Source organism: Homo sapiens, chromosome 17 (assembly GCF_000001405.40).
Source record: "Homo sapiens chromosome 17, GRCh38.p14 Primary Assembly".
In the NCBI taxonomy this organism is placed as follows: domain Eukaryota; kingdom Metazoa; phylum Chordata; class Mammalia; order Primates; family Hominidae; genus Homo; species Homo sapiens.
The window spans coordinates 66,998,531-67,025,972 of record NC_000017.11 but is presented as its reverse complement, the minus strand read 5'-3'; the positions used below and the strand labels follow the sequence as shown (position 1 = coordinate 67,025,972).

Sequence of the window (27,442 nt, the reverse complement as noted above, 5' to 3'; positions counted from 1 at the left end):
ACGCACTCCACACACACGTCTATTTATTGCGCTGGAAGGAAACAGATGCTGGAATGGTGTAGAACCGGGGCCCGGCACCTTGGCTCCCCAATGGCGGCTGCAGAGCTGGAGCCAGCCCCTCTAAGGCTGCAGTGGCTGCGGGTCCCAGGATGTGAACGGAAGTCATCTACCCTCTCCAGGAGAAAGGGCGAGGGAATGCAGGACAGGACAAGGGTGCTCTGGGAGGCCCACGTGTGCGGCACCACGCCAGGCCTGCCCATCTTCAGCCAAGGTGGCATGTCACTGTCACCCACAGCTCTGTGGCTATTCCCCGATGGCACTTTCCGGGGACATCGGGCATGGCTCTGAGGTGCTGCTGCCTTCTTGTAGCCAGGAGGGTTGGGGCAGTCGGGATGGGCGGGGGCCGCCTGCTCTGCCGAGCTTCCCCGCTCACTCTTCCCAGGGCACCCTGGACTTCTGCTTCCTCTGCAAGACGGCCACTCATGCCCATTCCGGGCCCTCGCCCTGTCTTTACCTGGCCAACTCCTTCGAGTTTTGGCATGATTCCCGTGGGCACCTCCCTGACCGCCTGACCCAGCCAGGCTCCTGTCACAGGCTTGTAAAACTGCCAGCTGAACCCCACCCACCACTTTGCACACCTGGACTTATTTTCCGGTTGAGGTGAAATTCATGCAAGATAAAAGTAACCCTTTTGAAGGGCACAATCCAGTGGCTTTTGGCGCATTCAAAATGTTGTGCAAGCATCCAAAACATTTCTGTCACCCCAAAAGGAAGCTCTGTTTGGCAGCTGCTCCCCATTCTCCATCCACCCCCAGTCCTGAACATTGGGACTTTACAAGTCAGTTGCATGTGGCGATGTTATGTCTGCATTCCCCTCTAGGATGCACACTGCCTGGCAGTGGGGACCACACGAGACAGGCACTCCTGTGTCCCCAGCTCCCGGCCCAGCACCAGCCCGGGCGGGCGGCTCACCTGCAGCCACGAAGAGGATGCCGGCACTGAGGACGATGTTGTTCTTGCGGCTGTAGATCCTGCCAGCACCGATGCACAGGCCACCCAGCAGGAGCAGGATGGTGCTGAGGATGGGGAAGACGCTGGAGGCTCGCACGATGCCTGGCCGGGGAGGTGGGGGGCACAAAGCAGAGGGCAGTGAGATCAGGTGCCCTCCCGGGCATGGCTGCGTATGTCTCCCAGGAACCTTGCAGCTCCAGGCCCTTCCCCAGGATTTGAGATTCCCATCAGGACCTGGAGACTCGAGGTGGGCCAGTGCCTGGGGAGGCTCAGGGCCATTGGATCAGATGCAAGTGGGGGCTCCGGGCCTGCCCTTCACCCTGGAGTCACATCTGTCTACCTCTTGTTTAGTCTCTCCCTGGGAGTGGGCACCAGGGAGACCAGAGTAACAGCCATGAAAGCAACAAACCGCATCACATTTTTGTGGCACTGCACAGCCCCCTAAGCCCTTGCATGAACGCAGTCTCCGTGAAGCCCCTGGAAGGCTGGGAAGCAGTGTCCACAAAGGGTGGCCCTGGTCAGTGGTTGAGAGCACACGCATCGGCATTAGGTGGGTCTGGGCGTGGGCCCTGCTGTGGCATGCTGGCTGTGTAGCCTTGGCCAAGTCACTTTCCCTCTCCAAAACTCAGCTTCCCATCTGTGGAATGAGGTTCCTCATAGCACCAGTGTCCTACACATGTGCTTGGTTTTGTACATGTAAGGTGCATAGCACTGGGCCTGGCCATTCTATACCTTGATCATCATCATCATCATCAGCCCCTAGGTGATAGACAAGGATGTGGGACCTCAAAACCGGCCTGAAGTCGCAGGGGAGGTGTGGCTGGGCCGAGAGGGATGCTCGTGACCCACAGTGTCCACAGAACCAACTTTGTAGCCCTGACACCAGGGCTCTGCCACTGACTAACCTCGCTCTGCCACTGATTAGCTGACCGGGGACAGCTGACTTTGGTGACCACCTCAGTCCCCTTTTATAACTTGGGAATAGTAACATCTACCTGTAGGGAGTTGAATTGCAGCCTCCCTAGAATATACCTGTGTCCTAACCCTTAGGACCTGTAATTGATCTTATTTGGAAAAAGGGCCTTGGCCAGGCGCAGTGGCTCATGCCTGTAATCCCAGCACTTTGGGAGGCCAAGGCAGGCAGATCACCTGAGGTCAGGAGTTCGAGACCAGCCTGGCCAACATGGTGAAACCCCGTATCTACTAAAAACAAACAAAAAAAATTAGCCGGGCATGGTGGTGGGCTCCTGTAATCCCAGCTACTTGGGAAGCTGAGGCAGGAGAATCTCTCGAACCCCAGAGGTGGAGGTTGCAGTGAGCTGAGATTGCGCCATTGCACTCCAGCCTGGGCGACAAGAGTGACATTCTGTCTTAAAAAAAAAAAAAGGGCTGGGCGCGGTGGCTCACGCCTGTAATCCCAGCACTTTGGGAGGCTGAGGCAGGTGGATCACGAGGTCAGGAGATTGAGACCATTCTGGCTAGCATGGTGAAATCCTATCTCTAGGAAAAATACAAAAAATTAGCCGGGCGTTGTAGCCAGTGCCTGTAGTCCCAGCTACTTGGGAGGCTGAGGCAGGAGAATGGCGTGAACCCGGGAGGCGGAGCTTGCAGTGAGCCAAGATCGCGCCACTGCACTCCAGCCTGGGTGACAGAGCGAGACTCTGTCTCAAAAAAAAAAAAAAAAAAAAAAAGAAGAGGTCTTGCAGATGTGACTCAGTTAAGAATCTCAAGCTGAGATCATCCAGGATGAATCCGGTGGGCCCTAGATCCAACGACGAGCATCCTTATAAGAACCTTAGGAGAAGACACAGGGGAGAAGGGGCTGTGAAGACGGAGGCAGAGACCCAATGCTGCTGCCATGGGCCAAGGAGTGCCAACCACCTCCAAAGCTGGGAGAGGAATGGTCCTCTCCTAGAGCCTTCAGAGAAAGCAGGGTCCCCCAACACCTTGACTTCGGGCTTCTGGCTTCCACACCATGACAGTGAATTTCTGTTGCAGGTCACGCAGTTTTGATCATTTGTTACAATGGCCTTGGGAGATGAACATGCCCCATTGGAGGGTTACTGTGAGAAAATGTCAAGCACCCAGTAGGGGCTTAGGGTGCCCCTCCCTTAGCATCTGGGCTGGGAGGAAGGCGAGAGGGAGGGAAGCAAGGCTTGGGAAAGGAAAGCCCAGAGCTCGGCCTTTCCCAAGCACCTGCTGTCTCCCAGCCCCGTAGAAATCTCGGCTGCATGGACCCTTGGTGGCCCCCGCAGGGGACAGTGAGTCGGGCCGCACTGGCAGGCGCCACCCTCCCCAGCCAGCTGAGCGGGTTTCAGGGCTGTCAGCCTCTCCTCTGAAGGCAGGGTTTGTCTCCTTTTTTGTGAACGCATCAGTGTGTGTCCCTGCTTCACAGAGAGGAGATTGTCTGGGGGCATTAAATGCAGTTCTTCTCTCCGGTGCCTCCTCCTCTCCGATTCCTCTCTGCCTTCTGGCAGCAGCGGGCTCTGGGATGAAGTTTCCTGTGTTTCTGAAATGTGCCTCTGAGCTGTGCTGGCCAGAAAAGTTGAGGTCAGTCATCCCCTCAATGCCCTCGTTCTGCAGACAGGTCAGAGGAATCCGAAAGAAGGAAGTCCATCCAGCACTTTGGGAGCCCGAGGTGAGTGGATCACTTGAGGTCAGGAGTTTGAGACCAGCCTGGCCAACATTGTGAAACCCAGTCTCCACTAAAAATAGAAAAATCAGCTGGGTATAGTGGCGAGTGCCTGTAATCCCAGCGATTCAGGAGGCTGAGGCACAAGAATCGCCTGAACCCGGGAGCAGAGGTTACAGTGAGCCAAGATCGCGCCACTGCACTCCAGCCTAGGCAGCAGAGCGAGACTCCGTCTTAAAAAAAAAAAAAAAAAGCCCAGTTGCTCTAAGATCACTGGATGCCCAGGCTTGGCTCAGAGCCATCCATCCTGCCCAGATAAGTCACACAAGCACCTATGCCTTGCCACACAGACTCATTCCTGAGCTGTGGATGTGCAGATGCCAGCTGGGATTGCCACGGACAGTGGTGCAGGTCGGGCACAGCGCAGGTGGCTAAGGGGTGGAGGGATGAGTGAGGCTGAAGTCCAGCCCGTGCCCTGCTGGCCATATCAAGCCCTGGCAGAGGATCTGCATCTGCCAGGAGACAAGACACTTCCTTCTAACTCACCCCCGGGCACACTGTGGACTCCCAGCAGCCCTGACACCAGCCCCCTGCGGCCTGGCACAGAAGTTATCCACCTAACTGGAAATGCAGACTTGGAGAGGGGCACCAGGCCCAGGGCAAGGTGGGCAGGAAGCCCTGGGACCAGCAGAGCCTGTGGAAGAGAAGGTAGGCAGGATGTGGGGTGGTGACCCCCTCAAATCTTGGGCTGTGAACCTGCAAATCAGCAGTGACATCGTAAGAGCTCAGAGGCCTTCAGGGGGCTCTGCAACAAACAACACAAGCCCAGCTTCTGTGGAAGGCTTCAGAAAGCATGGCTCGGGGCGGAGTTCCTTCTTGAATTGTCAAAGACTGGGTGGGAGCAGCGCAGCCTTGGATCTACCAGGGTTGGTGCTCCACGCCCACGCAGATGAGCTGGCCTGAAACAGGCATCCTGCAGGCAGCCCCACCATGGAAGCTTCTGCTGCCTTCTCCAAAACACCCATTCTCCACCCGGAGGCAGAGCCCTGTTTTCTTTGCTGCTGTACTCCACATGTCTAATACAGTGCCTGGTACATAGCAGGCCCACAATAACTTTTTTTTTTTTTTTAAGATGGGGTCTTGCTCTGTCATGCAGGCTGGAGTGCAGTGGCACGATCGTGGCTCACTGCAGCCTCAACTTCCTCGGCTCAAATGATCCGCCCACCTTAGCCTCCTGAATAGCTGGGACTGGAGGCATGTGCCATCACTTCTGGCTAATTTATTTTTATTTTTTGTAAAGATGAGGTCTCACTATGTTGACCAAGCTGGAACTCCTAACCTCAAGCGATCTTCACGCCTTGGCCTCTCAAAGTGCTGGGATTACAGGAGTGAACCACTGCATCTGGCTGCAATAACTTGTTAAATGAATGAATAAACGAACTCTCATGAACCCTCACTTCTTGCAAATATCAGCCGCCAGAGACCTCCCTCCTGTGCTTCTACATATTTTGAGGAGCCATAGTCTGGACAGGGACCAGAAGACAAAATATTAGAAATCAGGGTGGCCCTGGAAACACATGCCAGTTGTCTGTGGTGATCATGACCTTGGCCTGTCTCTGAAAGTTGCTCAGCCCCTCCGGCTTCAAGCTCACAGGCACCTGCACTCTGGAGATAAAAGGATGATCAAAGACACATGCAGAGCTTGGTTTTAGGGCCAGATATCCCTGTTTCTGCAGCCACCGAGTGGAAAAACACCTCCCTGTTGGGAAGTCAGTTCAGCCCCACCCCGCCCTGACTTCTGCCAGCAGCAGAGACCACAGGCCCGAAAGCCGTCAAGCTGTCTCTTCCATGTGCATCTCTGAGCTTGTTAATGAACCTGGCTGCTTTCCCCACAGCGTACGCTTAAGGAGAACATGGCCTTCCCCAATGAGCTCTAATTGCGGTTGTGCTGTCACCATCATTATATCTGGGAAAATCACTCTGCAGCCCTCCCCGCCTTGCGCCCTCCCCAGAGGAGCTGGAACAGCTCACTCGTTTTTGTTTTTCTTGCTCTTCCAGATCCTCACTCCATCCTGCCCTGGGCCAAGCTGACTGTGTGGACCAAATCCTCGGGCTTCCGCCTCTGGCTTTTGGAGAAGGGTCTCGGCGAGGGAGTTCTGCCCAGCTGCAGGTGAAGGGGTGGCATTGCTTCCCAACAGCCGCAGCTCCTGCCAGGCAGCCCTGTCCCTACTGCTCCCTCCTCCAGGCTCCCATGCCTGCCCCCCTCACCTATCCAGGCTGAGGAGGGTAAGGGCTCCCGGCTATTGCTGGCCCCGGGGTGCTCTCCAGCCCTTGTGGGTTTCCCTTAACCTCACCCGCACCTTTGTAAATAGTCCTTCCGTAAACATCCTTCATTCATCCTGTTTGACTGTAACATCTACTTCCTGCTGGGAGATTGGGAAGCCATGTGGGGTGACCTCTGGGCTTCTGCATCTTGAAGCCAATCCATAAAGAGACCCCAGCACTCCGGGACCATGAATGGGACAGAGACAGGCGAGTAAAGAACAACCAGCACCAACGCCCATAACCTCAGGGGAGCTCCAGTGGGAAATGGAGAGGGAACGGTTTGTTTCTCTAATGCCTCTTTCCTTACAGTCCCAGGGTTGGGCCATGGGCACATCTGCCCCCAGAGCTTTAAGAACCACCTGATTGCCCTGGATTGGGCAGAGAAAGGCAGATTCTGAGTTGGGGCTGATTTTCAACTGAGCCATCCCAGCTAGGCTGAGCACCAAGGGCCTCTGTGGCTGGTTGTGCAGACGTGCACTGTACAACTGGAAGGATGTTCATACCATAATTTATGCAGGTGACATCCCTTGAGTTGTGCAGTGTGCAACCTGCACAACCATCTCTGGCGGCCCTGTGGAAATCTCATTTGCTTGGTTCAGTGTGGGCCCCCGGTAAGCAGAACGAGAGCATAGACAGGAGGAGGAGGAGGTGAGGGAGGAAGGATGGGAGGCAGAGCGGTGGCCAAATTAGTTCATGTTCTGGGCCTGGTCGCAGCAGCCTGACACTGCCCCAGGCTCTATGGGAACCGCGTGCTGTTCTATTTCACCAGATGACTCAGAATCAAAATCCTTTCTCTTAGAAAAAACGATCCATAAGCAGGTGCAGAGTGAATTGTGCTCTCTCTGAGGATGCTGGTATTGATTCTCCATCAACAAGGCTGGGTCTGAGCCCCAGGGGTGCTGCTGTGAGCTGCTCTTTGTGTGTCTTGGTTAATGTGAAAGGGGAAAATGACTCCAAAATGGTGCAATTTTTCTATTTGCAGGCTCCTCCCTGGCTGCTGCCAGGGAGGTATTCACAGGCCCAGGGATGAGATCTGGACTTAGTGTGGGGGCTGGGTTTGTCATTTGGGATTGAGCTTGTGCTGTGACTTCCGGGCTTCAGTCTGCGGGCCACATGCAGTCACTGGACCCAGGAGCAGGTGGGGGCTCCCATGGGCAGAGGCGGTGCTGAAAAGACTTCAGGACCATATATCAGAGGCTGCTCCCTGGCACCTTCCTCGCCTTCTCCCCTGGGTCTCCCAGCACCCCAAGAGGCTGTCTTGGTGTGTGACTGTATCTGATTTTTCAAGACTGGAATGGAAGAGAGTATGCAGGAGAGGGTGGGGAGGCCCCATTGTGCTTAGAGAGCCACACCCCTCAGGGAGGCCCAGCCTGGGCAGAGCCTATATCTTTAACCTTCCTTGCTCCAGCCCCAGCTCCAGCCAGTCAGTAACTTTGAAGCCTGCCATGCCCAGCAGGCTTTCTGCTCAGGTCTCTCTCCCCAGGGCACAGGCCCATCTCCCCAGGGTACAGGCCTCTCAGCCAAATAACCGCATTGAGATACCCAGTATGTCATGGCAGTGATGAGCAAAACTCCATCCTCCAAACTCACAATGTCTGAATAAGTAAGACAGTGAGTGGACCATCCCAAGACAATCACCCTCTCCATGCCCAGTGTCTCTCTTTCCTCCGGCCGCCTTCCCCCACCCTTCCGCCTCCCCACAGAAAGAGAGTCCAGGCCTCCTGACACTCACGGAGGAGGTACTCCGAGCTGTCGTGGTCGTAGTCATTGTCCTCTGGGAAGTGATTGATCCGGAAGCAGTGCCCTTTATAGATCCCTGGAAGGAACGAGAGGAAAAGAACACTGTAAATGCTGTCTGGGTTCACTCATCCGTTCACTCCAGACACGGTTGCCATGTGTGTGAGCCTCTGTGCAGGTCCTGGGGACAGACAGAGAAGAAAGGCAGGCTCCAGCGTTCCAGTCTGGTGGGGGCACGGGAGAGACACACAGAGAATGGCTACACCGGGAGAGATATGCCCCAAAGGTGACCCTAGTTATGGTCCAAGGGTGGACGCACGTGAGAGTAATGGGACCCGGCATGAATAACCATTGAGACAAGAGGTGCCATGCAGAGCTGCCCGGGGCAAGCAGGAGGTCGGATCCCTCTACCCAAGGGACTCTTAGCCGCATCTTGAAAAAAATAAAAAACAGGCTGGGCACGGTGGCTCATGCCTGTAATCCCAGCATTTTAGGAGGCCGAGGTGGGTGGATCAGGAGGTCAGAAGATCGAGACCATCCTGGCCAACATGGTGAAACCCCGTCCCTACTAAAAATACAAAAATTAGCTGGCCGTGGTGGCGAATGCCTATAGTCCCAGCTACTCGGGAGGCTGAGGCACAAGAATTGCTTGAACCCGGGAGGCAGAGGTTGCAGTGAGCCAAGATCGCGCCACTGCACTCCAGCCTGGCGACAGAGCAAGACTCTGTCTCAAACAACAACAAACAACAACAACAACAACAACAACAACGAATTTGCCCACTGGGAATGGGGCACAGGGGGCTTTCCAGGCAGAGAAGCAAGACATGTGAAGGCAAGGGTGGGGTTGAAGTCTGTCTGTCTGTGTCTTTCCCTCTCTTAAACCATAGTTATGGCCGGATGCAGTGGCTCACGCCTGTAATCCCACCACTTTGGGAGGCTGAGGAGGGCGGATCGCTTAAGCCCAGGAGTTCGAGACCAGCCTGGGCAATATGGTGAAACCCCATTTCTCCTAAAAGTACAAAAATTAGCTGAATGTGGTGGGGTGCACTTGTAATCCCAGCTACTCGGGAGGCTGAGGTGGGAGGATCACTTGAGCCTGGGAGGTGGAGGTTGCGGTGAGCTGAGACCACATCACTGCACTCCAGCCTGGGCAACAGAGCCAGACCCTGTCTCAAAAAAACTCAAAAAACCACAGTTATGGTGACTCCTTCCTCAGGTACACAGCTGGTGCAGATTCCAATCCCCTCACTCAATGCGGTTGAGGGAAGAGAGGATGGAGCAAGAGAAACTTCCAGAAGGGCTGAGACCATCATCTGCTTGGTTTCTTCCTCCCTACTCTGAGAAGTGGCTCTCATGGGGTGGGGGGCCAGACCCCTGGGTAGCTTCGTAATGTAGGACAGGCCAATCCTCCCTTCCAGAATCTTCTGCCCTGCTCTCCTAGTCCTCTGCTACCCTGAAGTCTGAGAATGGCCACCACAGAACTGGACATTGGTTGCCAGGGGCACAGGGTGTTGCCGCCACGTCCTATCCATGTCAGACAACCCCTTCCCCCGGGTCAGCCCCCCTGCTCCTGCAGCCTGGGAGCCACAAGCTCATCTTGACACCAAAGGAGCAGTTTCCACCTGGGGCCAATTCCTTTCCTGCAGCGGCTGCAAGCGCCCCCTGTTGCCTCAGTCAGTCAGGAGCACAGTCCTGGCGGCAGGGTCCGGGTGCACGTCCACCTCTCATGCTTCCAACCAGGAGAGGTCCCTGGCGAGCTGGGAGCACGCTGCCCTTCTACCTGGTCACCAAGAAGCTGATTACCAGCTGCCGTCCCCAAGCTCTTTCCTCCATTGGGCCCCTTCAGCTGCTGCCTCCAAGGAGCTGGAGTGTTCAGTGACAACCCTGATTCCTGAAGGTCCATGGGCCCTGGGGGCCAGCGGTGGGGGGCAGGATGGTGGGGAGGCAGAGGGAGGGTCTCAGAGGTGATGCTAGGAGTGTCCTCTGCATAGGATCCAGCATGAACAACGTAGTTATTAACTCCTCGGTCTCCTCATCTGTAGAATGGGCAGAGCCACAGCCCTTATATCCTGGGGATCTTAGGAGAATTACACCACGTCATACTTGAAAGGCACTTAGGGTGATTCCGGGCCCATGGTGGTGGCTCAGAGTTGGGGGGTTGCTGCTGTTGGATCTAGAAATGACCCACCCTCGCTCCTTCATGAGTGGCTGAATTGGTGGAGAACCATGAGGGTTTGTGAGCAAGAGGAAGGAACTCCAAGACAGGCTGGCCTCAGGGTGGTGGGGTGGGGACACAAAGGCCAGAGTGGGCCGGCTACATCCCCTCTCACTCCTGGCTCTCCCATGGCAGGCTCAGAATGTTCCTGGAGACCTGGAGTAGGCATTTTGCCAGCTGTGGGTGGGTGAGACCAAGCTCTTTGCTGTTCCTCCCCTTCCCCACACACCTTTTTTTGGGCTACTTCATAGGTCTAAGCAAAATCACCAAGTCACACATGCATGGTGGGACCAGTGGCAATAAGAGGTTGAAAAAGAAAAAGGAGTCCCTCTTTCCCGATTTGCTCTGCAGCGGCAGGCTGCTAAGTCCACCGTGTGTCTTCTCAGATGCTCCTTCGTGGGCACACCCTTCCACGTATATACGCGTGGGGTTCTGCCCATCTTAAAAAAAATTACACTTGTCTTGAAATAATTGTAGAGTCACATGCAGTTGTAAGAAATAATACTGGAACACCTACCCTTTATACTCAGCTTCTCCCCATGACAACATCGTGCAAAACTGTAGTGCAATATCACAACCAGGACGCTGACATTGACAGTCAGGATACAGAACACTTGGTCACTGCAAGGAGTCCCCACGCTGCCCTCGCACAGCCCCACCCAAGCCCTCCTGCCCGTCCCCTCCCTGACCCAAGGCATCCAGGAACATGTTCTCCATGTCAATAGTTTTGTCATTTTGAGACTCTCCTACAAATGGAATGATACAGCATGTAAGCTTTGGGGACCGGCTGTTCTCACTCAGCCTAACCCCCTAAGGATTCATCCAAGCTGTCATGCGTATCGGTAGTTTGCTCCGTGTTATTTCTGAGCGGAATTCTGCGGCATGGATGCTGCATTGTTTGTTTCATCTTTCACCCACGGAGGGACACCTGTTGTTTCCAGCTATTACTAACGAGGCGGTGGAGAAGGGCACAAGCTGTCTTCAGCCCCGTGGAGAGTGAATGAGATTGTTCTCTGTCCCTAGAGCCAAGAATCTGGGATATTTCCCCTAAACATCCTAAGTCAACACCTTCAGCTATTTCTTTCTTTCTTTCTTTTTTTTTTTTTTTTGTTTTTGGAGATGGAGTCTCGCTCTGTCGCCCAGGCTGGAGTGCAGTGGTGCGATCTCGGCTCACTGCAACCTCTGCTTCCTGGGTTCAAGCAATTCTCATGCCTCAGCCTCCCAAGTAACTGAGACTACAGGCACGCACCACCACCACTGGCTAATTTTTGTATTTTTAGTAGAGACTGGATTTCACCATGTTGGTTAGGCTGGTCTTGAACTTCTGACCTCAAGCAATCCACCCACCGTGGCCTCCCAAAGTGCTGGGATTACAGGTGTGAGCCACTGTGCCCAGCTACCATTTTTTTACTGGCGGTTTCAAGTGCCTTCTCCCTGGCTCCCTCCTCTGGGCTTGTTCCCAACTCTTGGTGCCTGGAGGCACAGCTCCACCACCAAACCCAACGTTCAGGCTGGGTCTGACCAGCTCAAACCACATTGGCACTTTCTTCTCTTCTCTGGACTCCATGCTTCTGTTAATGGGACTGGGTATCGCTGTTGACTCGGTCTCCTAGGATTTTTTTTTCACAAAAGTTGCCTCACCTCCCCCGAATCTGTTTTTGTGGAGTAGAATGCTTGGCGCTAAGGACTTCACATTTATCCCTGTCAAATTTAATTTCGTTAGCGCTGGCCTAGGGCATTTAGTAAGGAGAAAATGAATAGCTGATGCAAGGAGTAAGAAAGAAAGCCATTTTCAATCCACTTCACATGTGTTCGCTCTCCATACATGGGCCATTTGCTGTGCTATCTATTAAGTGATATTTAGGGTGGCTAATTGTGAGATCCTGGCTGGCTGGGCTGCAGGAATGCTGAGGTCGCGAGGTGGAGACAGGGGTCGCTGGGCTGTGCTCCCAGAGACACTGTGGCCCTCACCTTCCTGAGGGCCAGGAGACCACTAGCGGGAGACTTTGTTAGTCACTCGGCCTCAGGCAAGTTACTTCTTCATCTAGAAAACCTAGGAATTGGACCAGAGGGAGACGGTCCTGCTTGAAGATTCTATGACTATTTTGTAAATAACAGGCACGGGGTGTGTGCACAGGTGTGCATGCCCCTTCATGAGCAGGTACAGGCTCGTCTGCACACGTGTATATCCCTTCATCTGCACATATCAGGGGACACTTTCATTAAAAGAATATTTCTTTTTTTTTTTTGAGACAAGTCTCACTCTGTGACCCAGGTTGGAGCGCAATGGCATGGACTCGGCTCACTGCGACCTCCACCTCCCGGGTTCAACCAATTCTCCTGCCTCAGCCTCCCAAGTAGCCGGGACTACAGGTGCATGCCACTAAGCCTGGCTAATTTTTGTATTTTTGGTAGAGATGGGGTTTCATCATGTTGGCCAGGTTGGTCTTGAATTCCTGACCTCAGGTGATCCACCCGCCTCGGCCTCCCAAAGTGCTGGGTTTACGGGTGTGAGCCATCACACCTGGCCTCATTAAAAGTATATTTCTATGGGCACAGGAAGCATCTGGAAAGAAATATCCCCACATGTGTCCAGTGTTTTATTTCTGAGCGATAGAGTAATGAGCAAGTTACATTTTTCTTCTTTACATTCCTCTGTGTTTTCTGAATTTCCTACAGTATCTGAAAATGAACCAATAAAACTAAGAAAAGAGACCAGATTCTTTGACTCCGAGTGAAAATGAGGTGGTGTGTCTGAAATGACAGCAGATGCACTTGGACATGGGAGCTGGGAAGCGAGGTGTGAACCCTGGGGGCCAGAGGGTGTGTGGGCAGCATTTGAGCCTCTCCTTCCATGACCTCCGTGAAGGTCATGCCTTGGGGTCATATCCCCAAGTACAGTTGAATGGCCAACCCCCAGGACCCGATGGGTTCCAGGGACATAGGAACATTGGAAGAGTCCAGGCAAACGGGGTGAGCTGGTCACCCTGTGAGCCATTTCAGGGGCACTAAGCCTCCATATGGGCCACCTGAGGCCATCGTCATTAAGGGAATCCTGGAGAAAAGCATGTCAGAGGGCAACTTGCTGATGGTGCTCATTCATATAATCCTTTGTCATTTGCAATGCATTTTCAAAAGCATGACCTCATTTGATCCTCACATTCACAGCTGCCACAGGCACCTACTGAGGGTGTATGGTCACCCTTCTGTCCACCTCGTACCTCTTGGCCTATCTTTTACCCCAGCCACACATGGCTGCCGCGAGCGACCAGCTCTGTGCAGGTGGAGCCTGCTGACACCTCAATTCAGCTGCACCAGTTACTTCTTGCTTTCTGCCCACAGCACTGAGTAGGTTGCCTGAGGGAACGACTCTGCACTCGCGCACGTGCAACTGGAAGTTTGAGGGATTAACCACCCTGGGGGAAACCTTTGAACAGTGGAGGACGGGATGGGAGCTGGTGGATAAAGGTCCCCAAACGCTGTCCCTTGGTGGGCAGTTCTGAAGTCCTTTCTACACTGCTTCTGAAGGGGTGGGTCCCAGCAGGACCAAGCCAGGTGATCATCAGCCCAGGACATCCTTGCATTGGCTCTCCCCTCCCCGATGCCTGGTCCCTAGGATGGCCACCCAAGATACACCCCCTGCATGCCAGCCCTGGGCTCAAGCTATGATGAAGGCTGGGCGTGTTGCATGCTTCAGCCCATTTCATCTCTGCAATAATGCTCCTTTGAAGATGGAGAAAGAGGCTTAGAGATGCTGAAAGACCTGCTTCCACAAGGCTCACAGCAGAACGATCAGGCATTCTACCCTAATGTAAAACAAAGTCTTCTCTGCTCCATTTGACAGAAGAGGAAAGTGAGGCTCAGGGAACACCTGGTCCCCTGCACAGGGCACCCTGGAATCCAGCCTCTTGATTCCTTGTCCAGTGCTCCTCCCACACCGCCCCAATGCAGCCTTTCCAAGAATCCTCTATAGAAGCAGGGCTGGGGCTCTACAGGAGGTGAGGCCCAGCTGGTTTTTCTCCCCAAGACAGAAAAGGAAGAGAAACCAGATAGCCACCAGGTGCACTGGGTTAGCTTCAAGGAAACAGCTGTCAGGTGATGAAGAGCGGGGTATTGGGAGTCTCCAGGCCCTGGGAAAGAAGGCAGCCTCGGATTGGCTGGGGCTGTGGAAGCCAGGGAGAAGGCGGCCCAGCAGCACAACTCCCCTTTAGGATCTAGGAGGGGACGACTGTGCATAAAAAGGAAAGAGAAGGAAAGAGGGCAAGTAGAAGATGATACTGAGTGGGACCTTTCCTGTTCACTCATGCATCACTCATTCATTCTCAACAGACTTTCACCGTTTGCTCATCACTCAATCATTCATTGCTCGACAGTATTGTCACTGTTTACTCATCTCACTCATTCATTCATTCATTCATTCATTCATTCCTCAAGAGCATTTTACAGAGCCCATAGCAATGTTCTAAGTGCTGGGGCTGCCAGTCTGAGTAAGACGGAGTCCTGGCCCTCACGGAGCTCTCATTCTGGTGGAGCAGGGCAAGGCGGGCTGTTGACACAAGAAGATAAAATAAATGAATATCAGCATCATTTTAGGTGGCGCCATGAGTGAAGACAGGGGAAGGGGTCTGAGGCGTGTTAGGCTGTGGACTCTTGTCCTAAAATTGTGGCTGAGCTCAAAGCTGAGATGATGAAGGTGTGGAGTCCACTTCCAGGAACACACACCCCTGCGGGGGCTGCTCACATACGTGATTTCAGACCATCCTCCATGATCCCCACTCTCTCCAGGCAACACTAGAAGAGGAGAGGGAAAGAACCCCAGACTCAGTCCAGGGACCAGCAAGAAACACCTACTGAGGCCACACAGACCAGAGAAGGCGGTGAGGGTGAAGACCACATCTGGGCCAAGCGTCCAGGCAATTTTGGTTGAATTAACTTAGGAACTGCAAAATAATCAAACAACATGTATTGTTCTAGAGAGCCAGCAATGCGAACTTTACCATAATTTAAAGTGGCCATCTCCCAACTACTCCAAATTGGAGAGGTTTCCCTGGACTGTATGCTGTGAAAGGGGGTAGCTGTACTCAGGTAACAGCCCTGGTCCAAGGGCCAAATGGACCATGTCTGTGTCTCAGAAAGGGGCACACTGCAGGAGCTCAGAGCATGCCTGTGTCTCTCTGTCCTCCTGCCAATCATCTGCCATCACTACTTCTCCTCAAGGTTTTCCCAGAACTACTCAGGACCTGGCCCTCTCCCACACCACCCCATTTCCACAGGAAGGAAGGGAACAGCCTAGAAAGACTGGAGGGCTCTATGTTTCCAGGAGGCTGCAGACCATCCCGGAAATGACCTGCCTGGGACTTCATGGAGGAGGTGGGGAACTGAGGGGTAACAGGACTTTAGCTGGGCTGATAGGTGATGGGGGCATGAAAGAGCTCTGTCCTCATGATAAGAGTGACAGCAAATATTTACTGTACTTAGCACCTATGATGTATCAGGCACTATTTTGAACACCTGACATTTATTAACTTAATCTTCATGCTAACCCTATATGGTAGACAGGCTAACACCCTTTGTTACTAAGTGCCCTAACTGGGATCTGAACCCAGGCTGCCTGGCTTCAGAGTCTGTGCCCCTACTTCGTACACCAAGGAGGCAGAAGAACACAGAGCTCCAAGACGTTCTGTGTGGCTTCAGCATGATGGGGAAGCACATGTCCCCAACACTCCTTAGGATTAGACTCTGGGGCTGAGGGTATTGGCTGATGCTTCAGGCTGTGTTAATCCTTCACTAGCAGGCAGAGATGCTGAAGCAGCGGGGATGGCAACCCAGGGCCCCACACCACTGGGACAGCGAGTAGTCAGGGAGGGTAGGCATGGGGACAAAGGCAGAGCTTGGCTGGGGAGCAAGGTTAGGATTTTTGAGAAGGGCTGATGTGTGCAGAGAAGGCACCACTGTGTCTGGTGCAAACAAAGGGGGCAGTCGGGGCAAAGGTGTGAAGGTTCCCAAACCACAGCTGTCCTGGCATGGTTGGGTAGCAGTGATGGGGGAGGTAGAGGAAGAAGGAGCTGGGATGGGGGTGGGGTCTTGCATGGTGGGCAGAGGACATGGGAGTTTATTGTACAGTCTCCACGGTGGGGATGCAGTAGTCTGAATATTTGTGTCCTCTACCCCCAAATTCATATGCTGAACTCCTAACCCTGAGGTGATGATGTTAGGAGGTGATTAGTGGAGCTCTCACAAATGTGATTAGAGTCCTTTTAAAAGAGACTCTGGAGAGCTTGTTTGTCCCTTCAACTACATGAGAACACAGCAAGAAGGCACCGTCTATAAACCAGGAAGCCACCCTCACCAGACACCAAATCTGCTGGCGCCTTGATCTTGGACTTCGCAGCCTCCAGAACTGTGAGAAATAAATTTCTGTTGTATTGTAAGCCACCCAATTTATAGTATTTTGTTATATACTACAGATACACTATATTTTGTAGTTTGTTAGCAGCCTGAATGGATTAAGGGAGGGCGTGACTTCAGGTTGGAAGGCCCAGGGAGGTACCCTTCTTAAAGGAAGCTGCATGGGATAGGAGCAGCAAGGAGATGTAAAACCAAGAAATGCAGCCCAGAGCAATGATAAGCGATGTTCTTGGTTTGGGGAGACACTGGCTCCTATCCTTGGACGTGGTTTCAGAAGAGGGACTGGAGGCCAGGATGGAAGTGACTTGGCCAAGATCATTCCAGCACTGAGAGGCAGGGTGCATTAGTTTTCTGGGGTTACTTTAACGAAGTATCATACACTGGGGGGTTCCATGACAGAAAGTTATTGCCTTACAGTTCTGCAGGCTTGAAGTCCCAAGATCAAGGTGTTGATGGGGTTGGTTCCTCCTGAGGGCTGTGAGGGAGAAAGCTCTTCCATGACTCTGCCTTGCTTCTGGTGTTTGCTGGTGATCTCTGGCGTTCCTTGGCTTGTAGAAGCATCAACCCCATCTCTGCCTTCTCTTCATATCATATTCTCTCTGTGTGCATGTGTCTATGTCCAAAGTTCCCCTTTTCATAAGGGCCCCAGTCATACTGGATTAGGCCCCACTCTAAAGGCCTCATTTTTTTCTTTTTGAGACAGGGTCTCACCCTGTCACCCAGGCTGGAGTGAAGTGGCGCGATCTCGGCTCACTGCAACTTCCACCTCCAGGGTTCAAGTGATTCTCCTGCCTTAGCCTTCTGAGTAGCTGGGATTAAAGGCATGTGCCACCATGCCTGGCTAAGTTTTGTTATTTTTAGTAGAGATGGGGTTTCACCATGTTGGCCAGGCTGGTGTCGAACTCCTGACCTCAAATGATCCACCCACCTCGGCCTCAAAAGGCCTCATTTGAACTTGATTACCTCTGTAAAGAGCCTGTCTCCAAATCAGGTCACATTCTGAAGTACTGGGGTTAGGACTTCAACATAAGAATTTTCGGTGGGGATGGGGTAGGGTGCAATTTAACCCATAACCCAGGATTTGGAGCAGAGGCACCGGTCAGGCCCACCAGCCAGTGCTCCAAGCTGCTGCTGACAAACTCGAGGCTCCTTGATTCCCCATGCCTCAGCTCTTTGCCCAGCCCTGCCCCCTGCTCCCCGCAATTCTCCCTTAGAGGTCCCCTTCTTAATTCCTCCACTTCCACACCGAGTGCCAAAGAAACCCCCTAATAACTGTGATTTCCTAATTGGCACACTCTGGTCTCCTACGGGCTGGCCTCTTTCCAGCTTCAGCAAGCCAGGCTGTTGGGAAACCTCTCCATGGGTTCCTGAGCGAAACTCCAGGCGTGGAGAGGCAGTCTGGGCTGGTTCAGGCTTTCTCAGGGAGCCCTAGCTTCCTGGCCTGCTAGTGGCTCTCCATGAGACCCTCGTAAGCCACTGTGACCTTCAGTTCCTTCATTGAACTTACATTTATTGAGCACCTGCTGTGTGTGAGGTGCTGGGGACTCAGAGATGTAGCAGAGTGTCTGCTTGCTAGAACCTGTTTCCTTTTCTTACGGTGCACACGGCTACACTGTATTTCCCAGCTTCCCTTGCAGTTTGAGGTGGCCTGTGACCCAGTTGTCCAATGGAATGTGAACTGAAGTGACGTGAGCCACTCCTGGACAAGGCTCAAGAGCAGTGGGGGTGGCCCTCCATCTCCACTCCCTCCCAACCTGCCATGGGATGAAGGAAGCCTGGGTCCCTGAATCACTCTGTGGAACACAGGTGTCCGTTGAGAGGGCCACCCATTTGGACTGTTACATGAGCAGGAAATGAACTCCTACTATGTTTAAGGCATTATACATTTGGGCATATCTCTGTTAGAGCAATAATCAATAATACAAGAGGAGAACAGGACAGACATGGTCTCTGCCCTTCTGAAGCTTTCTGGTTCCATAGGTATTCAGTGACGACTGAGGAAAGGGCTTAGAAAGAGTCCTGAGTTTCCGACAGCACATCACCGAGAAGCCTGGCCCAGGCTGCAGAGTAGAGGTCAGGGAAGCCACTCCTCATTCAGAAAATGGGGGAAATATTTTTACAACCTTTCATATCTCAAGTGAGACCCAATGAGACCCATGTTGGTCAAGAAACCTTGAGAAGGCTAAATCGTGATGATGTCATGAGTGTGAGTATATGGTTTTCAACTCCTCATTTCTCGGAGATGTCTTTAGACTAGACTGTTCCAATTAGAGTTAAGAGAGGGGCTAAAAATAATAAATGCTTGCCATTCAGATCCTGGGAAGTTTCTTTGGGCAAATGAGGACGACTATCACTGGCAACTGCTAAAAGATTCACACAGGCTTATTACTTTTTTGATAGTTTAGAGTCATTGAGGTGCCTTGTGGTCCCTCTAGAATCTGTTTGGGTTTGTTTTTTGTTTGTTTGTTTTGAGATAGAGTCTCGCTCTGTCACCCAGGCTAGAGTGCAGTGGTGCAATCTCAGCTCACTGCAACCTCTGCCTCCTGGGTTCAAGCGATTCTCATGCCTCAGCCTCCTGAGTAGCTGGGACTATAGGCACCGGCCACCATGCCTGGCTAATTTTTGTATTTTTAGTGGAGACAGGGTTTTACTACATTGGCCAGGCTGGTCTCGAACTCCTGACCTCAAGTGATCCACCCGCCTTGACCTCCCAAAGTCCTGGAATTACAGGTGTAAGCCACTGCATCCAGCCTCATTTCTTCTTTGATAGCTTAAAGTCATTGAGGTGCCTTGTGGTCACGCTAGAATCTGTTTTGGGTTTTTCTTTTGAGGTGGACAAGGTTCACCCACTCAATCCTTTGCCCATTCTTTCTTTTAGTTTGGTATTCATTGATTGACACCAGGCCCCGTGGATCCTGCCTGGGAGAGCTTATGACCTAGCTGGGGAGGTGAGCGAACACAGTAACTAGAACAAGAGAGCCAGTGACACTATGAGACAAGGAGCAGGTTTGTGGAATTTCAAAGAATAAGGGACAAGTGCTGAATGGGGTGTCTGGGAAGCCTGGGGAGGTGCTGGGGTTCACACAGAGTAAGTAGTACTTGGCATATGGCGGCCCAGGCGAGACGAAGCCCAGAGGCATGTTTGGCATGAGCTTCTGGAAGGGACCTTGCCTGGGGAGGTGACGGAGACAGTACTGAGGCTGAGTAAGCAGGTGGGGCTGCAGTCCTGGAGGGAGCCAGAACCGTCCTGTAAGGAGACTGGATTTCATGCCATCAGCCGAGGCGCCCTGGGAGCTTTCCTGAAGCTGGAAAACTCATGGCTCATGCCCGGAGCTCTAGACCCTCCAGGCTCTGAATGTCTGTCATTCTGTCCCCAGCCTGGCTGCTATCATCTGGCCTGTTAGGGCTTTTGGATCCCACCCTGGGGCCCTTGGGTGGCCTCTTTTAGTCCCAGAGGAGCCTGGCTGCCTCGACACGGCAGCCCCTGCTCACCCACGAGGAACAAGCTCTCTCCTCCTCACTGCCCCTCATGGTGGAGTGCCTTGTGAAAAGGGACACATTTCAATTCTGGCTTCAAGTTGGCAGCTTCCTGAGGCTGCCAGAGGCTCCCAGGTGGGGAGGGGTGGTTGATGGGATAATGTCGGGCCCCTTGGACTCAGCCTGCCTCACCTCTCACCTCTGCCAGCCACAAGGAGAGAGCCATCCTGAGGAATGCTGGGCCGTGAGCTGCACTGTTTCAGACCCAACAGAAGATAATGGCTTCCATAGTGACTCGGGCCCATTGTTCCTTCTGTCGGCTCATCTGTAGAACCAGGCAGTGGGGCAGGAGCCCTGTCCCCAAGACCCCACCTGTGTCTAGCAGTCCAGGGAACTACAAGGTCCGAAAAGGTGTTTCCTTTCAATGGAGCAGCCTGGAATGGGGCCAGTGGAGGATTTGGGAGAGAGGTCACCTTTGTGATCAGCAGAAGGGAGACGGCACTGGACTCTGATACAAAATCCACTCGGGGACCGAGGCCTGTCTGCAGCCCATTCTGGTTCCCTTAGGAAGCAGGATTCTTGGAGAGAATCCATTTCTACCTCTAAATTCTCTCTGTGAACCTGGAACCTGGAGATCAAAGCTCGTGTGGTAAGCGGAGACATCACTCTGGGTCCTAGACTCTAAGAATCTTGTGTTGTGAGCACCTGTGCAGTGATTCAGAGGGGCAGAAGGTGGGTGGAGAGGGAGTGGGCCGTCTGCCTTGCACTACACCCATACTGAGGTTCTGATGGTCCTCAGGGGTGTACCACTGGGGAGCCCCTTTCTCTGGGAATGAGTCCTTCACACAGAACTTCCCCCATGGCCCTGCATGACATGGCCCTGCCCCCAGCCAAGGCTCCTGGGCAGACCTCTGGCCCAAGCTGGACCAATCAGAGGTTCTCTTGGAAGTGTATATTTTGGATCAGAGACAGAGGAGACCCATGGACTAAGGGACTTTTGGGAGTTTTTAAAATGGTGTTCTTGAGTGGTCCAGGATGCCAGATATGGAGGCTCCTGCCTCTTTCCTTCCTTCATCTTGGCTGTTAAGCTCTCCCTTCCATCCTTTGGGACGCTTCCACATCCTTCCGATACATTCCTCTTTGGGACGGGGCAGGGTGCCTCACAACTGTAATCCCAGCACTTTGGGAGGCTGAAGTGGGCGGATTGCTTGAGCCCAGGAGTTTGAGACCAGCTCGGACAACACGGCAAGACCTTGTCTCTACTAAAAGTACACAAATTAGCTGGGCATGGTGGTGCACGCTTATAGTCCCAGCTATGTGGGAGGTTGAGGTGGGAGAATCAACTGAGCCTGGGAAGTCGAGGCTGTAGTGAGCTGAGATCATACCACTGCACTCCAGCCTAGGTGACAGGACTGAGACCCTGTCTTAAAAAAAGAAAGTCCTCTTTGTGGATCAAGTCAGAGAAGTTGGTTTATGTGCTTGCAACCGGCAGAACTCTAACCCCCAACCAGCTGTACCTTCACTGGGGGAGGGAGATTCCAACCTGTTTTTCCAGGGCTCCAAAGCCCAGGCTCTACTCCATGTCTCAGCGCAGGTCTGCAACACTTTCTAAGACACGAAAATAAGCATGGGTTCCCTGGAGACCACAGGGCTCCAGGGAAAGGAAGGATGTTGTATCGGGGATGAGGATGCTGAGCACCAGCCCCACGCTGCGTGGAAGCTTGTGGCTGGTGCTCATCTGAGGTCTCATCTGGCTCAGCGAGTTCTTCAAGAACCCACAGCACCAGCCTCACGCCTCCTCCAACACTTTGTTCCAGAGAGGGCCAGGATTTTCCAGGCTTCCTGCCGAGATTCATAATTAAACGGAGCCGGAGAGATTTCCCCAACCAACCGCTCCTTTTCTCTCCTAACACAGGGGAATGGGTATTCAGTTATTGTCTCTGTGATTTTTCTCCTTGCATCTACTGGATAACTGCTGCTTGGATGAAACCTCAGTACTAAGGGTTGTTGTTGTTGTTGTTTCTTTCTTCATTTCTTTCTTTCTTTTTTAATGAGGAACAACTAGGGAGCTGTAAAGGGCGAAACAGCTCTCTGCAGATTTCAGCTTTTCCGTTGGTTTGCCTCTGCAGATCTCTGGGAAGTTATGCTCCAATAACCTGAGAGTTTTAATTGAAGGGGCTGGGCAAGAGAGGGAGCATCATAGTAGATAATCATAAACTTCTAGAAGGGACCCTTGGGATCATCCACTTCACCCCACTCACTTCACATATTAAGAATTTGCTGCCTGGAGAGGTGAAGGGCCATTTCCATGGTGATAAGCTGATTGGTGGCATAGCCAAGCTTTGACTGTTGGTCACCTGACTTCAAGTTTAGAGCTCTGTTACCCCCTGTCCATTGCCTGCTCTAGTGCAAGGTTCTCTACAGGGGGTGATTTTGCCTCCCAGGTGACATTTGACAAAGGCTGGAGACAGTTGTGATTGTCACAACTTGGGGTTGCAGGGCGAAGTGCTACTGGCAACACGTGACCAGGGATGTGCTAAACATTCTACAATGCACAGGATGACTCCCTACCCTGCCCCAACAAATAATGATTTAGCTCCAAATGTCAATAGTGCAGTGGTTGGTGATGAATAAATGTCCTGCACAGAACTGAGTCTTCCCCTTCTCAGCCCATGGCAGACATTACTAATCAATCACAGTACTTTTCTCCCCTGATCACAGTCTGAATCCTCAACACAGTGCTCCATTCAGGAGCTACTAGTTGATAAAATACCTATCGATCATCCTTTGGCTGGATAGCATAGAGACAGTACGTTCTGAAGTCATTCTGCTTGGGTTTGAGTTCTGGCTTTGTTACCACCTATTAGCTGTATGATCTGGGGTCCTAATTCACTTCTCTGTGCCTCATTTTTCCCATCTGTGAAATGGGGATCACAAATGGGGATAAACCGAGGGTGATTTGGGGGATTAAACAATTGTATGCATTTTTTAAATGTCACTGTGCCTGTCCCATGGTATGTACTTAAAACATGTTTGCTGTTGTTATAATCAGCCCTGTTCTAATAACAAAGAGTCAGCTGGTCTTATTGTCAGAAGTGAGCAGGCCAGGTTTGCCCCCTATCAGGACTGACACAGACTCTTCCTTGTCCACATATACCCATAATACTGTGTCTTCCAAAAGAAGCAGAGCTCCCCTGACTCTTAGAAGGCCCAGCAAAGTAACCCTGTTTTTCCCTGAGCCTCATGACTAATGGACTAATAAGTGTTGGCTTTGGTTGAAAACTATATTCCCTGCAAAGCATGTGCTAAGCTCTTTCCATTTACTCATTAAGCTTCAAAAACAACTTATGAAGGGGGAGCTTCTATACACCCATTTTACAGATGAGAAAGCCAAGGTTCAGAGAGGGCAAGTAACTTGCCCAAGGTAGCACAGCCAGGATTCTCTCACCTGCTTCTGTCTGATCCTACAACTAGTGCTGTCACTGCTATGATTCCCTGCCTCCCTATTCTATTTGAGGATGGAGAGAGAGAGAGAGAGAGAGAGAGAGAAAGAGAGAGATGAGAGGTGGAGAGAGCCAGTGTCTGGGAGGGCACACACCTGCCAGGTCTGCCAGGTCACCAGTGCTTTCTGGCAACCAGGCCAGGATGAGGGAGCACACATGCATTTCTGGAGTACCTCCAGGGCTGAGAACAGTTCTTCCAGGGCAGCCAGATACCAAGTTCCAACCCAGTTTTTAAGATCCCTCTCACCACCTCCCTGATATGGTTTGGCTATGTCCCCACGCAAATCTCATCTTGAATTGTAGCTCCCATAATCCCCACATCTCATGGGAGGGACCCAGTGGGAAGTAATTGAATCATGGGGGCGGGTCTTTCCCATGCTGTTCTCGTGATAGTGAATAAGTCTATTAGATCTGATGGTTTTATAAAGAGCAATTCCCCTGCACACGCTCTCTTGCCTGCTGCCATGTAAGACGTGCCTTTGTTCCTCCTTTGCCTTCTGCTATGATCATGAGGCCTCTCCAGCCACGTGGAACTGTGAGTCCATTAAACCTCTTTTTCTCTATACATTGCCAAGTCTCAGGTATTTCTTCATAGCAGTATGAAAATGGATGAATACACTCCCATACCTGTGGTCTGGAGCACCAGGTTAGAATTCTCCATCACTTGCCAGCACCCTAGTGCTTCTTGGTCACTTGGTGAGGAGCCGCCAGATCATGGGCTTAGGCAAGGCCTCAGAGCTCCTGGGCTAATCAGTCACACCTGGTGTCCATGGCCCTGCATCCCAAGCCCCATGGCACCCAACATCCTGCCTGCGTCCTGCCCACTGGTGGCTTTCCAGGAAGAGCTTTGCCATGTTGGGACCATGTACCTTCCATTCCTTATGGAATCACAAAGAAATGTCTAGTTCGTCTCCCCCATGAGGGCCCCTGAAGTCCTGGAAGAGCAGCTGCAGACTTGGTCGTCTAGTAGAACCCTGAATTCAAATCAGCGCTGACACATTAAGAGGTTGCTGGGTGCCAGGCACCATGCTAGGCCCTGGCTATGGTGGTGAAGGTGCCAGAGTCATCCCGTCCATGCCTTTGAGTAGCATGAGGGGGCCTGGGATAGCCTGTAAGCGGGTCAGGGAGGCTACTCAGAGGAACCCACAGTACAGCTGCGCCTTGAAGGAGGAGCAAAAATTAGCAAGGTAAGATGCAGCGGCTACGGCAGACAGAGGCCCAGAGGGGTCAGAGCCTGTCTGAGGCGGCAAAAGGAGGCTGGTGGGGCTTGAATTAGAGAACCAGGGGGAGGGGACAGGGGTGGCAGGGCCTCAGGGGCCTGGGAGCTGGAGGGAGCCATGTGGGGGTGTGTATTAGTCTGTTCTCATGCTGCTAATAAAGGCATACCCCAGACTGGGTAATTTATAAAGAAAAAGAGGTTTAATGGACTCACAGTTCCAAGTGGCCGGGAGCCCTCACAATCATGGTAGAAGGTGAAGGAGGAGCAAAGGCACATCTTACATGGCAGCAGGCAAGAGAGTGTGTGCAGGGGAACTGCCCTTTATAAAACCATTGATCTCGTGAGACTTATTCACTACCACGAGACCAGAACAGGAATAACCCACCCCCATGATTCAATTACCTCCCCCCAGGTCCCTCCCATGACACATGGGGATTACAGGAGCTACAATTCAAGATGAGATTTGGGTGGGGACACAGCCAAACCATATCAGGGTGTGAAGCTAACCATCTGATATACAAGATTTGCTTTTTAGGAAGGTCTGTTCTCCTCCAGGATGGAGGACAGAGTGGAGGCAGGGAGGCCAGTCAGAATCCAGGCTCTGGGAAAAGAGTCTTACTCAAGGTCTTCTGCTGACTTGGAGCAGAAAGGGAGGATCCCCAAGGATAACTTGTGCCCCCATCGCTGTCCATCTTCAGACTAAACATCCCTCCCCCCGTCCCGAAAGCAGTCCTGGCTTAGGGACACTAGCACCCTCCCAAAGTGGCCTTCCCTGCACTACTTCACTCAGGGCCTAGGGACCTTGGCCACTGGCCCTCACTTGTCCTCCTGTGTCTCTCCCTCCTCCGGTCAGTCCCAGAGACCATGCCCACATGGCAGGATCCATGTCCCAGAGCAGGCGCCCTGCACCCTTGCCCCCTCTCCTGGCTCCAGGCTCCTGAAATCCCAGGCACAGATCACTCAGCCTCAGCTTCCTCCTGGAGTTTTGGAGCTAAGGCTTGAGGCTTTTGCTTGCATTTAAAAAAAAAAAACAGTAAATAAAATGTAAAATCCAGCTTCCCTCCTTCCACAGGCACAGGACAGCCCAGGCGTGGGGCTTGGTGGGCTGGGACACAGTGAGAACAGGCTGGCTGGGAGGGAGACGGAGCAAACCCTGGGAACAGAGTGGAACAACAGTCATCGTGAGTTAAGCAGGCTGTTTATGGGAAGGATAAAAGTTAATGGGAAGCTATACTCCAGCTCCCCACCATCAAGCAAGAGAAATGCTGTAAACGACACAAGGAAAGAGAGGAGAGTCCTGAATGCAGCGATTCTGCTTGCAGAGAGAGCCTGGGGAAGGCTGCGTGGAAGCCAGGTGGAAATAGGCAGTGGGGAGCCACATTCATCACCTGATTAGGAGGGCAATCGAGATTTGGACACCACTAATTTCATCTAAATGCTCTGGGTGGCTTCTTCATCTATTACCCACCATCCCCATGCCAGGGACGAGCTGAAAGCCAGTTGGGGAGGAGGCGTTGGCTCTCTCTCTAATTCGTCTAAATAAAGCCCTTCCCTCGGGAGGCCGCGCACTCAGACAGCCCGGACAAGGAGCCTCATCTATCCTAATAGATCACAGTTGCTCTGGCTTTTGCCAGTTGATATGGTTTGACCCTGTGTCCCCACCCAAATCTCATCTCGGATTGTATTCCCACGTGTCAATGGAGGGAGCTGTAATCCCCAGGTATTGATGGGGGGACCTGTAATCCCCATGTGTTGAAGGAGGGAGGTGATTGGATCATGGGGGCAGTTTCCCCCCGTGGTGTTCTCCTGATAGTGAGTGAGTTCTCACGAGATCTGATGGTTTTATAAGTGCTTGGAAGTTCCCTCTTCGCTCGCTGTCTCCTGCCGCCTTGTGAAGAAGGTGCCTGCTTCCCCTTTGCCTTCCGCTGTGACTGTAAGCTTCCTGAGGCCTCCTCAGCCATGTGGAACTATGAGTTAATTAAGCCTCTTTCCTTATAAATTGCCCAGTCTCAGGCATTTATTTACAGCAGTGTAAAAACGGACTAATACACCAGTCTTCTGAGATGGATACAGAACACAGGACCGAAGTCTGTGGGGGCGGTGCCCTGGGGTCAGGGAGCTATTCCCATGCTAACTACCACAATGACCACCACCACCACCACCACCACCAACTCTACTGCCAACTATTACAGTAATAGCAGCTAATACTTGTTGAGGTCATCGCCGTTCTATGTACTTCATATTCTAACTCATTCAGTCCTCACTGCAACCCTCTCATGCAGGTGCTGCCATTGTCAGCCACTCCATTTTACAGATGAAGAAACTGAGGTCCTGAGAGGTTCAGTGAGTTGCCCAGGATTGCCCATCTAGTGCAGGGCTGGGACTAGAACCCAAGCCATCATCCTTCAGAGCCTGAGAGCCTAAACCACTCTGCCCCACCACCTCTCAAACTACATGAAGAAATACAAGCAGGCACCAGCTGGCAATTCAGGAGCTGAGGGAGGCCTAGCCCAAATGGTGGGATGTTCTTTGAGCTCCCGGACCATCTCAGGAGCATCTCCCCTTCACCAGCTTCTGTCCTAGGCTAGGCACCCATGCTCCAGTTAACTGGTGTGTCTGTTTGGAAAGGGGCTCATGTGAGAAGGCAGGGTGGGGGTGAGGAAGCAGGGCATGCAGATTGTTCCCAAATGAAACAGACTTGGAAACTGAGCAAGAGGCAGGGCATGAATGGGCAGCCCCAGAGCGTGCCCAAGGCCCAGGGTCTGGCCCTGGGTGAGCTCAGCCAGGCACTGACAAGGAGCTGCCTGCCTGGGGGCTTGGGAGGGTGAGCGGGGAACACTTAGGGCAGTGGATGCACCTCCTGAAGGTGGGGAACTTGGCTTCAGGCCAGCGCCCTCAACTAGCAGTTTTCAGTC

General features: G+C 52.6%; 1 protein-coding gene across 1 annotated transcript in view, besides 3 other annotated features; it reads right to left on the bottom strand.

Annotated features, from left to right (window-relative positions):
* CACNG4 (calcium voltage-gated channel auxiliary subunit gamma 4) overlaps nt 1–27,442 on the bottom strand; it is a 68,692-nt gene that overhangs the window by 7,426 nt on the left and 33,824 nt on the right. The window contains exons 2-3 of the mRNA NM_014405.4: nt 7,701–7,784; nt 973–1,113 (exon numbers count right to left, since the gene is read on the bottom strand). Of these exons, the coding sequence (NP_055220.1) occupies nt 973–1,113; nt 7,701–7,784 (225 nt within the window). The remainder of the gene's footprint in view (nt 1–972; nt 1,114–7,700; nt 7,785–27,442) is intronic.
* Nucleotides 13,679–13,968: an enhancer, noted in NCBI's record as "active region_12617". NCBI's record gives its function as "activates an Ori minimal core promoter by ATAC-STARR-seq in GM12878 lymphoblastoid cells {active_cell/tissue: GM12878}" and the evidence as "EXISTENCE:reporter gene assay evidence [ECO:0000049][PMID:35858748]".
* Nucleotides 19,276–19,776: an enhancer, noted in NCBI's record as "H3K4me1 hESC enhancer chr17:65002313-65002813 (GRCh37/hg19 assembly coordinates)". NCBI's record gives its function as "activates a minimal SCP1, AML or CMV promoter by ChIP-STARR-seq in primed H9 embryonic stem cells {active_cell/tissue: H9 hESC(primed)}" and the evidence as "EXISTENCE:reporter gene assay evidence [ECO:0000049][PMID:30033119]".
* Nucleotides 19,777–20,277: an enhancer, noted in NCBI's record as "H3K4me1 hESC enhancer chr17:65001812-65002312 (GRCh37/hg19 assembly coordinates)". NCBI's record gives its function as "activates a minimal SCP1, AML or CMV promoter by ChIP-STARR-seq in primed H9 embryonic stem cells {active_cell/tissue: H9 hESC(primed)}" and the evidence as "EXISTENCE:reporter gene assay evidence [ECO:0000049][PMID:30033119]".